Source organism: Homo sapiens, chromosome 6 (assembly GCF_000001405.40).
Source record: "Homo sapiens chromosome 6, GRCh38.p14 Primary Assembly".
NCBI lineage: Eukaryota > Metazoa > Chordata > Mammalia > Primates > Hominidae > Homo > Homo sapiens.
Genome location: NC_000006.12, coordinates 65,914,863 through 65,927,937, shown reverse-complemented (window position 1 = coordinate 65,927,937; position 13,075 = coordinate 65,914,863). Strand labels below are relative to the sequence as shown.

Here is a 13,075-nt window from a genome sequence, read left to right as displayed (position 1 = left end):
AGTGCCAACACTGTGGGAAGCCAAGGTGGGATAATAGCTTGAGCCCTGGAGTTTGAGACTGGCCTGGGAAATAAAGTCGGACACCATCTCTACAAAAAAATAAAAAAATTGGCTGGGCCTAGTAGTGCATTACTGTGGTCCCAGCCACATGGAAGGCTGAGGCAGGAGGATCAATCGCCTGAGTCCAGAAGATTGAGGCTACAATAAGCTATGCTGCACCTGCAGGCTAGGTGACATTGCGAGACTCTGCCTCAAAAAAAAAAAAAAAAAAAAAAATTAAAAAATTAACATTGTTTCTAGTCTGCATCCACCACCACAAAACAGATTTCAAATTACAGTCTAGTATTATATGCCTATAGCCTATGTAAGTTATTTTATTCAAATCATTTTATAATACATTTAGAATATGATCTGTTAGTTTTATCTCCCTCTGTTTCATGACCAGTACCCACTCAAATTTCATTTTGAATTGTAATCCCCAGGTATGGAGGAAGAAACCTGGTAGGAAGTGACTGAATCATGGGGGCGGTTTCCACCATGCTGTTCTTGCGATAGTGAGTGAGTTCTCACGAGATCTGATGGTTTTATAACTATTTGACGGTTCCTCCTTCACACACACACACGCACGCACACGCGCGCCCACGCACACACACAAACACACGCTCTCCTACTGCCTTGAGAAGAAGGGGCCTGCTTCCCCTTCCACCATGATTTAAGTTTCCCGAGGCCTCCCCAGCCATGCGGAACTGTGAGTCAGTTAAATCTTTTTCCTTTATAAATTACCCAGTCTTGGGTTGTATCTTTATAGCAGTCTGAGAATGGAGTAATACGATGCCTCTAGCATTAAAATTTTTTTTAAAAAGTACACGGCCGGGTGCGGTGGCTTACGCCTGTAATCCCAGCACTTTGGGAGGCTGAGACAGGCGGATCACGAGGTCAGGAGTTAGAGACCAGCCTGACCAACATGGTGAAACCCAATCTCTACTAAAAAGACAAAATTAGCCGGGCAACATAGGGCATGCCTGTAATACCAGCTACTCAGGAGGCTGAGGCAAGACAAGTCGCTTGAATCCGGTAGGCGGATTTTGCAGTGAGCCTGGATTGCGCCATGCACTCCAGCCTGGGCAACAAGAGCAAAACTGCGTATCAAAATAATAAATAAATAAGTATACACAGAGTCTTTCATTGTACCCTCCCAAAAAACAAATAAGGAAACCAAAAAAATGTAAAAAGCTACATCAGAAGTAAAAGTAGCGTACTTTATCATGTCAGGTTACAAAATCAAAACGAGATGTTTTCCTCTAAACCCCTAACATCTAGCTTAAAAATATAAAATAAAATATTAGCCATAAGTAGAAAACATACCTAGGAATAAAATTAATAAAAAATAGATAAAATCCATTAGACATAATTTTAATGTCATCTGAAGGAAAAATGATCTAGGAAAAAAATTAATTGTGGAAAAAAAAAAGCTCTACCTCTTTCTCATGCCTAACATAAGTATGTATCCTACTGGATTAAAAAACTTAAATGTAAAAAAGAAACCAAAATTATGCTGGAAAATGCAAATATAAATATTTCAAAGTGGAGAGAGGGTTTCTAAGAAAACAAGATAAAATCTGTATAATCAAAGATTGGCAGAACGCATTGTAGGGAATATATCTTCATCAAAGTACTCATATACAATTTGATCTACTATGAATTCATAGAACAAGTAGATCTTATAGGAAAATACCATTCTTATAAACTTAGTATCAAGTTTTTAGACAGATGTTTTTCTCTGCTCTCTTCTGGAAAACATTAATTTATTCCTGGCTTATTCTTAAAAATGATAGTCCTTTGTGATCCAGCATTTTTTGGGAGCATTCTATTGGAACTTTTAGGAGAGATACTGAGCTTTGTCTTTCAGCGTGAGTGGTAGTGAGTGCAGAGCTCTTCTCCCTCTCTTGATTCTCACTTTCACTTCGTTTTTGTCATCTAATGAATTCTTGTATTGTTGCAAACTCATCCTTACATTTACAAAACTTTAAGCAAGGTTGTTGATCAGGGCATTTGTTCTGCCATACTGCAAGATAAAGACTTGGTATTTGTTCCCTTAAAAGCAGACAAACAAATAGTAAAAACCCTTATCGAGGAATGTAAAAAGTGAAATTACATCAGATATCAAAACTTTTTGCAGCATATATACAAAGCAGAAAGTTAAAGTACTTAATATTTAAGAGATCTTGCAAATCAATAACAGACTTTTTCATTCATTAGACATAAACATCAGCATGTAAAATTTTCTCTTCCAACTATTGTATTAGATTTTTAATTGGATATAGAGTATATTTAAGATTTAGAAAATTATATTACTCTAACTTTCTTTTTTATTGTGAACATTAAGAGAGATGATGACTATGGGTACATTTCTTGCAAGGTAGTATAATTATATAAGATATCTGTCCAACTTATCATCTAGTATTCTCAATAGTAAGCCCAAATTATCTGTTATATGTTATTCAGGTTTATGTAATTATGTAAGTTTATTTTTAATTTTAATTTAATTATCTCACCATGTTTATGTACAGATTATTTTCAATATTTTAAAAATATTTATCATGAGTTGCCTTTCCATGTTATTTAAATGTATTTTCTAATGGGATGTCATTGTTTTTAGTTCACATTCATTACAACCTGAAAATTTAAAGCTTATTGCTTCTTGTTATATTTAGTACAATCTTCCCCATAAATGGGACACTGTTATGCAATTGTTTTTAATGTAAAAATCCAGAATTATTATGAGGTTATACTTTATCTTGCATGACAGTGAGTGGAAGATTATATAACTTCCATTTGCTTTAAGAAGAACCCTGGCTAGCTGACACAGCTGTTACGATAATGGTAATTTGGTGCTGAATGAGAAAGACGCTATCCTGGGAGAGAATTTCCATAACTATTGCATCTAATATCAGAAAAGAAGTAATTTCCTCCCGTACTGCATCCAAAATATTCTGTGAGTTCAGGGACAAGAAAATGGCGTGTTTAAAATCTATATACCCACCATTAGCTTCTACCATTCCTTTGTTCATCTAATGCATTTTTGACATATTTCAATGACAAAAAAAATTGAAGAAATGTATAGAAATGCAAATCCATACCTTTCTAATTCCATCTATTAGAAATGATTTACATCCAATCACACACACACACATACACATACACACACACACACACACGCACACACGTAGTGTCATGGATACCTCAGAAAGTTTATTTGAGGATAGAATTAATTTTCTATAGATTTAGTTAAAGACCCTTTCAATAATAATATGGTTGGCTTATTGCCAAGTTTGTTTGGAAGAGTGTGAATGTACTACAGAGACATAATTATCTCTGTAGTTACCATTTATTAAAGAACAATTTAGAAGAATATAAATCAGCTACTGAATTGAAATTGTGGAAAGTGTTTGTAAGCTCCTTGGAATCTGGGACTACCTAGGTATATTCTCTTTTCTCTCTTTTTAATTAGTTTTACAGCATAAGTTCAGACAAGATTAACACTCACAAGAAAATAAAGATATGCATTAAGAAATATATATATATTATAGCAATACAATATGTTGAAATATAGTACAGAAACTTTTCTGTATTTTTGCTTTGGGTTGTAATTTTTGAAAATACATTTTTTTTAATATATAAAAAATGTATTGAAAGTTTGTTTCCCTCTGGTGTATTGTCCATGCAGTACTCTGTATATGAACTCAATCACTGGTTTCAGAGTAATCTCCCCACAAATACCATCTATGAGTTGGAAAAATACAAAACAGTTTTGAAAACACCACATAGTATTCTAAGGCAGTCAAGATTTGAAGGACAAAGATCTTGGAGATAAATGCTCACTGATGCAAGCCAAACTTCTCTGCAGCTTTTTTTCCAGAGAGTATTTGCTGGTTCACACAAGAGCAATAAGGACTTAGTAGAAAAAAGCATATATTATTTAATGCATTTCACTGAATTTAGAAGTGAAATATAAGGGAGTTTGGGTCTATAGAGGCAAAAATGATTTCGGAGAAAAGAATCCCAAAGAACAAAAGGACATTAAGAAGTAAACCCAACATTCTGCAGGAATTTCTCCTTGGGGCATATAGTAAATAATATGCTAAACATAAATGGACCAACTGCAGAGAAAGCAAGCAGAATACACCTGCTAACTAAAAATAACAAGTATAGATCTCAACATTCTTACAGTACAGAGAAGAAAACAATTTGAGTTCAAAGACTGCAAGTAGGAAGCAGCCCAGTAAACACTTCAGGGTTTCAAATGGATATCTCTGAGGTAATTGGAGATGACCTAGAAATAAAGGAAAAATTATTAATAGCCTCAAAGTATTTTTTTATTATCTTGCAGTCTTCTGCCAAAATAAATAAATAAATAAATAAATAATAAATACATCCTCTGTGATGGAAGACTACTTTATCCAGAGTGACTACAATTTGTCTTATACAAACTCATACATTTAACAACAAAATAATTTGCCATGTTTACCAGGAAGCAGAACATAGAAACAAATAATTAGAATTATATAAAAGTCAATAGAAAAAGATTTATAAGTAATAAAAATTATTAGAAAAAATATTAAAACAACTATGGCTAAGAGTTTTTAAAAAGGGGACAAACTTTTTTAAAATTCTATTTTAGGCCGGGCGCAGTGGCTCAGGCCTGTAATCCCAGCATTTTGGGAGGCCGAGGCGGGCGGATCACAAGGTCAGAAGATCGAGACCATCTTGGCTAACACGGTGAAACCCCGGCTCTACTAAAAATACAAAAATTAGCCGGGCGTGGCGGCGTGCACCTGTAGTCCCAGCTGCTGGGGAGGCTGAGGCAGGAGAATGGCGTGAACCCGGGAGGCAGAGCTTGCAGTGAGCCGAGATCCCGCCACTGCACTCCAGCCTGGGCGACAGAGCCAGACTCCATCTCACACAAAAAAAATAAAATAAAATAAAATAAAAAATAAAATTAAAAAAATTCTATTTTAGGATCCAGGGTAAATGTGCAGGTTTGTTATATAGGTAAAATGCGTGTCACGGGGGTTTGGCATACAGATTTTATTGTTACCCAGGTAATAAGCATAGTACCCAAGTTGGTAATTTTTCTATCCTCACCCTCTTCTGAATCTCCACTCTCAAGCAGGCCACGTTTTCTGTTGTTCCCTTCTTTGTGTTCATATGTACTCAGTATTTAGTTCCCACTTCTAAGTGAGAACATGCAGTATTTTGTTTTCTGTTCCTGTGTTAGTTCACTTAGGATAATGACCTCCAGTTCCATCCATGTTACTGCAAAGGGCATGATCTCATTATTTTTATGGCTCCATGTTATTCCAGGGTGTATATGAACCACTCTTTATTCAGTCCACCATTGATGGGCACTTAGGTTAATTCCATGTCTTTGTTATTGTGAATAATGCTGTGATGAACATACATTCACATAAGTTTTTATGACAGAATAATTTATATTCCTTTTGGTATATATCCAATAATGGAATTGTCAAAGCAAGTGGCAATTCTGCTTTGAGATCTTTGAGGAATTACCAAACTGCTTTCCACAGTGGTTGAACAAATTTACATTCTCACCAGCAGTATATAAGTGTTCCCTTTTCTCTGCACCCTTGTCACCATTTGTCATTTTTTGACTTTTTAGTGATAGCCATTCTGACTGATGTGGCATGGTATCTCACTGTGGTTTTGATTTGCATTTCTCTTTATTAGTGATGTTGAGCACTTTTTATATGCTTGTTGGAGGGCTGTATATATTCTTCTGAGAAGTGTCTGTTCATGTCCTTTGCCTGCTTTATAATTGGGTTTTTTGTTTTTTGCTTGTAGATATGTTAAAGTTCCAGATTCTAGATATTAGCCATTGTTGGGTGCATCTCTTACAAAAATTTTCTTTCATTCTGTAGGGTGTCTGTTTATTGATAGTTTCTTTTGCTGTGCAGAAGCTCTTTAGTTAAATTAGGTCCCATTAGTCAATTTTTTTTGTTGTAATTGCTTTTGGCATCTTCATCACGAAATCTTTGCCAGGGCCTATGTACAGAATGGCGCTTACTAGATTATCTTACAGAGTTTTTAGAGTTGTTTTAGCTTTTACACTTAAGTCTTGAATCCATCTTCAGTTGATTCTAAGGAATGGGTCCAGTTTCAGTCTTCTGTATATGGCTAGCCTATTATCCCTGCACCAGAACAGAATGGAGAACTCAGAAATAATGCCATACACTTACAACCATCTGATCTTCAACAAAATCGACAAAAATAAGCATTTGCTGTTCACAAAAAAAAAAAACACATATTTTAAAGCTGTGGAACATTTAACTTTCCTAGAAAAAGGATAAAAAATAGTGTTCTACTCAAATTTCAACCAAAAGAAAGTTGCTGATGCCATATAAAAACTATACTTTAAGAATAGAAATACTAGAAGAGATGAAGAGGGCTACTTCACAATTATAAATAATCCAATTTAACAGGAAAATGTAATCATCCTAAAAGTTAATTACCATGTGACATATTTGTAACATATGTGTAGCAAAACCTAAGTAATATTTATGTAACTAGCATAAAACATACACTACCACATATGTACCTAGTAACATTACCAAACTATTTGTATAGGTTGAGAAAACTAAAATAAAATATAGAAGAATTTACAATTACAGCTAGAGATTTTAACAAACCATGTAAGTAATAGCTGGAATACACACACACACACACACACACACACACACACACAAACTCACAGGCAGAATTGGTAAGTATATAAACATTTTGAACAATACAATTTGAATTTAACCAAACTGAAACCCAAACTGTGACAAATATTCATTTCAAATTAGCAAGGAGTTCTCACCAAAATTTACAGAATACCTAAGGGCACTAAACAGACTGAGAAATCTTAATTACAGACATAAAACATCTTTGATAAAAAAGAGATTGACAGATGGCTTGACACATGACTTAAAGCAGAGAGAAGGTACCATCCTCAGGGAGCCAAACTGGGCCCTACTTAAGGACTATTCCCCATTTCTTGAGATCTGGAGATATATGTGTGACTGAATTCCAGAGTTGTTGTGGACCAGTAACTGCTATATGCTCTCATTCCTCTCTGTTTTGAATGAGAGTGAATCCTGCTGTTATCTTGTCCCTGTTTCACACTTGTAGTTTGGGAATTCAGAGGTATTAGTTCATAGGTCTCAGTTAAGAGGGTTCCCTGAGAAGCTACAAATGAGTGGGACTTGATCTGCCTCATACACACTTGGGAGTGATTTAGATAACAGGATACTAAAACCTAAGCATGATTCTGATGTAGTAATGTGATTAGAATTTTGGAGTAGACAGTGAGTATATGGGCATATGGGAAAAATATAAATATTTGTGTCCAGGATGCAAGTGTTTTAGATTGAAAATTGCATATAGTATTAATTCAGAGGTGTGAGTGTTAATTTGAAAATATATATTGTAATACTAGAGCAACAATTAAAAAATTAAACATAGAGCCGTAGTTAAAAACGTCAATGAGAATAAAATAATTTTTTTAAAAAAACAACAAAAAATTTACACCAAAAATTCAGGACAAGAGAAAGACAAAAACAAACAACACATGACAAAATTTAAAAAAAAAATTGAAGAGATGGAATCAAGCCCACCATTATCAATAACTACATTAAAAATAAGTTGAATAAGGATATGAACAGACACTTTTCAAAAGAAGACATATATATGGCCAACAAGCATATGAAAAAGAAAGCTCAATATCATCAATCATTAGAGAAATGCAAAGCAAAACCGCAATGAGATATCATCACACACTAGTCTGAATGTCAATTACTGAAAAGTCAAAAAATAACAGATGCTGGCGAGGTTGCAGAAAAAGGGAACATTGTGGAAAGCAGTATGGCAATTCCTCAAAGAGCTAAATGCAGAACTACCATTCAACCCAGCAATCACATTACTGGGTATATACCCAGAGGAATATAAATCATCTACTATAAAGAAACATGCACATTAATTTTTATCGCAGCACTATTCACAACAGCAGAGACATACAATCAACCTAAACGCTCATCAATGACAGATTGGATAAAGAAAATGTGGTACATATATACCATGGAATACTGCAGCCATAAGGAAGAACACTATCATGTCTTTTGCGGGAACATGGATGGAGATGCAGGCTATTATCCTTAGCAAACTAACACAAGAACAGAAAATCAGATACTACATGTTCTCACTTACAAGTGCAAGCTAAGTGATGAGAACTCATGAAAACAAAAAAGGTAACAACAGACACTGGGGCCTACCTGAGGGTGGAGTGTGGGAGGAGGGAGAGGAGCAGAAAAATAAGTATTGGGTATTAGATTTAATACCTGGGTGATGAAATAATCTGTACAACAAACCCACGTTACATAAGTTTACCTATATAACAGATCTTCACATGTACTCCTGAACCTAAAATTAAACATTTTTCAATTAAAAAAGGCAGAGATTGTCAGATTAGATAAAAAAGCCGGAATCAAACACAGTGGTTTACAACAGATACCCTTCAAATATAAACTCATAGATAAGTTAAAAGTAAAAGGATGAAAAAGAGATTTTAAACAAACACTAACACAAACAAGCATAACGTAATATATTCAAATTTTTTAAAAATATAGATTGTTTAAGAAAAAAATTCTTAAACAGCAGACTACTAGAATTTTTTCCAATAAAAAGTTTCAATTTATCAGGAAACTATAAAATCTTAAATGCAATTACACCATAAAATGGAGCTTCAAAATTGACAGAACTAAAGAATAAAATAGACAAGTCCATAATTATGCTTAGTGATTTTAACATAACCTCTTTCTGTAATTAATAGAAAAAATAGACAGAAACTTGATAAGGATATGGAAGATTTAATCAACACTTTTAATCCAGTTAATGAAAATTCATAAAATATTTCAACTAACAACAGAATAGAAATTATTTATAATTTAACATCAAACAAAAACTTGGCCACTTCATAGAAAAAGAAACAAGAGTGGCTATGATCATATGAAAAGATTCTAAATATCTTTAGTCATCAGAAACATGCAAATTAAAAACTACCACACACCCATTAGAATTGTTAAAATTAAAAATTGTACAAGCAAGTATTCATAATGAGGTGGAGCAATTGGGACTCTCATGTCTTGCTGACAAGAGTGTAAAATGGTACAATTGCTTTGATAATTATTTGGAAATTTCTTATAAAATTAAACATACAGTAAGTCCTCACTTAACATTGTTGGTAGGTTTTGTAACTTTAAGCAAAATGATGTAGAGCAGGTCCTCGAATGATGTAAACTCCTTGTTTCCTTATAACATTGATGAGAAGAAAAATTGTCTTTGTTTTGAGTTTTGCTTAAAGTTGCAGTTTTCAAGAATCTCCTGATGATCTTAAGTGAGGACTTACTGTACACATATGCTATGGTCCAACAATTCTATTCCTAAGTATTTACCAAGATAAACAAAACAAAATTTAAAAAAACTACCCATATCCACAAAGCACTAGTTTAGAAATATTCATAGCAACTTTATAAATGATAGCACTAAAATATAAACAACTCAAATGTTTATCAATTTTAACCAGAAATATTTCCCTTTCCTCCCACAAAAAAAATAGTATGTCATAGCAGCCTTATACAATATTGCTATATATGTGTTGTATTGCTATACATATATATGTACATATTGCTATGTAAATATATGTACGCATATAGCAATATATGCATATGTGCCCATATAGCAATATAAATATATATACACATATAGCAATATGTGTATATGAACATATTGTATATATTGCATATACACATATAGCAATATGTGTATATGAACATATTGTATATATTGCATATACACATGTTGCCATATGCATATATATTTATATAGCAATATATGCACATATGCAGGGAATAAACAAAATTTTTTACATTCAAACAAAGGAATACCAGTCATCAACATAAGGACAGAATACATGTGCGCACACACACACACACACACATACACATCTCATGAAGTAATCTCACAGACATTGTATGGAGGGAATAAAAAAAGTTTACAATAACATCATGTTCAGTATGATTCTACTTCTAAGTAAAGGCAAAAGCTATCTAGGATTCTTAAAAAATCAGAAAATGGTTTCCTGGTGTTGTGTGAATAGGAGGTGGCATATAGACTAGAAAGGTACTTGAGGGAAGTTTCTGGGTAATGGAAGCTTATATCTTGATTTGTATGATGGTTTCAGGATACATATAGTCAAACTCATTGAAGTAGACACTTCAGATATTTGTGATTTTTATTATGTAATTTCTACCTCAAAATATTAATTTAAGAAAAATAAATCCCTCCACCTTCATTACATTCATCCTAAGATAACACTATTGAAATACATTATGGTTATGAGCACAAATGAAAAATTCTCAAATGATAGTCTATTGTGTTGCTTATATCAAATGAAGAAAAATGCAACCTACATAAATACAATAAATTCCAATCTCCATCTTCCCTCAGGAATGATTTCTAAGTAGTTATAATATTATGATAAATATTAGCATTTGTAGAAAAAAGCAATTAGAGAACCCACACTCATGCCTCTACGTAATAAATAAGATCATGGAAGTTCACATGATTAAGGTAAAATTGGTCTATTTGCATGAATATTTCTCGACTAGGACAGCTATCGATCACAAAAGTGATTTACACAGTTCATAAGTATAGTACACTAAACTTAAATTGAATGAATTCATTGTTCCCCCAATTCAACTTTTTTTAGTGGCATCACCTAAATTTTCATGTATACTCAAATGACAGTGATCAATTTTTATCATTTTACTGAGACTGAATGACTTTGAAAAACAACATTAATTCACAAATACATTGAGGAGAATAGTTTTGAGGATCAAGCAATGAAATCACAGATTGAAACGACAGTTTTAAAACACTTAAAGCTGGACATGGTGTATCATATCTGTAATCCCAGCACTTTGGAAGGCCAAGGTGAAAGGATCACTAGAGCCCAGGAGTTTGAGGTCAGCATGGGCAAAATAACAAGACCATGTTACTACTAAAACAATAGCAATTAAAAAAAAATTAGCCAGGCATAGTGGTGCCTGCCTATTGTCCCAGCTATTCATGAGGCTGAGGTGGGAGGATCACTTGAGCCCAGGAGTTTGAAGTACATATCACATTGGGAAATTATTATGAGTATTTTGAAAAAAATACAGTGTCAGAAAGTTTGGAAAGCTAAAAAAAGAAGAGAAAATGTTCAATCCAAAATTCTACAAACTTAACACAACATATACTAACTTTATGTGTATGTATTTGGTCTCTTCTAGTTGTTTTCAACGTGTGTTTTTCTTGAAATTAACAAAGAAAAATAGCATAGTCTCACATAAGTTTTATAATGATATTTCCTAATAGATTTTAAATTCCCCATTTTTGAGAATAGGCATGTGTAGAGACAGTGTGTATATGGGATATATCTGTATCTTCCTCTCACTCTTGCTGTGAACCTAAAGTTGCTCAAAAAAAAAGTCCTTAAAAATACCTCTGTTTTAAAAATACAATAATTTAATTGGTTATTAATGACCAATTAATGGCTAATAGTCATTAGCCTTTGCTAACTGAGTTACTGGGATCTTTATATTTTATTATTTGCAATGTTAAAATAATAGGTGTATTAAACAAATCACAAATATATTTCCTTATCTATTGTTTTCCTTTTAAATTTTTTTTTTTTAGAAATATGGTCTTACTAATGTTGACTATGCTGGTATGAAACTCCTGGGCTCAGCTTATATTTTTAATTTAAAAAGTATAACAATTTTTTTGTTTTGACACTTTTCCTTTTCAGCAATGCCCTGATCTTTAGACATTATATTTATCTCTCCTAAATAACTCAGAAATTGATACAATACCCCCCTCCAAAATAAATTATTTACAGGTTTAAAATAATCATTTCAGTTCCTGAAATGACTCCTGCTCTTTATTGACATATATACAGATATAGATTCATTTCAGGTATCTTTTAGGATCAACTTTTTTTTAAATAAACGTTTATTTAACTTCAAAATATTAACTCTAATTTATAGAGATTATTTTATTGTAAATCAAGAGGAGCATCTCTGAAGTAATTTTTCTTAATTGCTCAACAGTAATATCAATTCTATATTCTAAATAATTGTTACTTCCTGAATAATTGTTACTTTCTCCATTGACAAATAGTGCCTTTTTTTCTTTTTATTTTATGTTAGTTTTGAAATCAACTGTAGAGGTTATTTTTGGTTATTATGTTAAATTTCTTCATAAATTTAATTTCTTCTGATGTAATTCAAATATTACATCAGAAGTAACAAATGGCATTTCACCCACCATTTTTGTCAAAAGAAGGTCGCAAGATCAAGTGAGATGCCATTAACATAGAAATGGAAAATACTGCAAGAAGGTGAGACAGTGAACAATTGGGAAAAATATATATATATAGTTCATTACACCAACATTTAAGGCCATAGCCCAAATCCTGATTCTGTAACTACATGGCCTGTGAAAGCTAATTTAGCCTTTCTGAGTCTCAGCTTCCTTATTACAGTAATGAGCAGATAATCAACAAAAATCAATCAAACAATATGGAGACTATATTTAAGTGCTAAATTAAAGAGATAGTTGATTTTCCTTTTCTACATGTAGAAAACATCTACACTGATGATAATAAATACTTTTACTTATATGTTTAATTTTTTATTCTTTCAGTCTCATTTCCAAACCTTCTAAAACAATAGTAAAATTGATCTATACAAGGAGAACAGAAAGCAATTTAATCCTATCAATCAGAGACAAGATTCGGTCCTTTTTGAATTCTTTGTATTGCCCGTAAGATTCTTTCTTTTTCTTATAATTTTTTTGACATGGAACGGTAATTTGATTTAGGGCCTTTGTGCAATCTTTTTACATATGTTTAGTATTCATTTTACAAATATAAAATTCTTATAGCTAACAAATTTTTCATTCTGTGATTTATACTTAT

General features: G+C 32.8%; 1 annotated feature.

Moving 5' to 3' along the window:
• Window positions 787-956: an enhancer, noted in NCBI's record as "experimental_93781 CRE fragment used in MPRA reporter constructs". NCBI's record gives its function as "activates a minimal promoter by MPRAs in K562 erythroleukemia cells, with activity observed for both the introgressed and non-introgressed 6:66636960 variant alleles {active_cell/tissue: K562}" and the evidence as "EXISTENCE:reporter gene assay evidence [ECO:0000049][PMID:34662402]".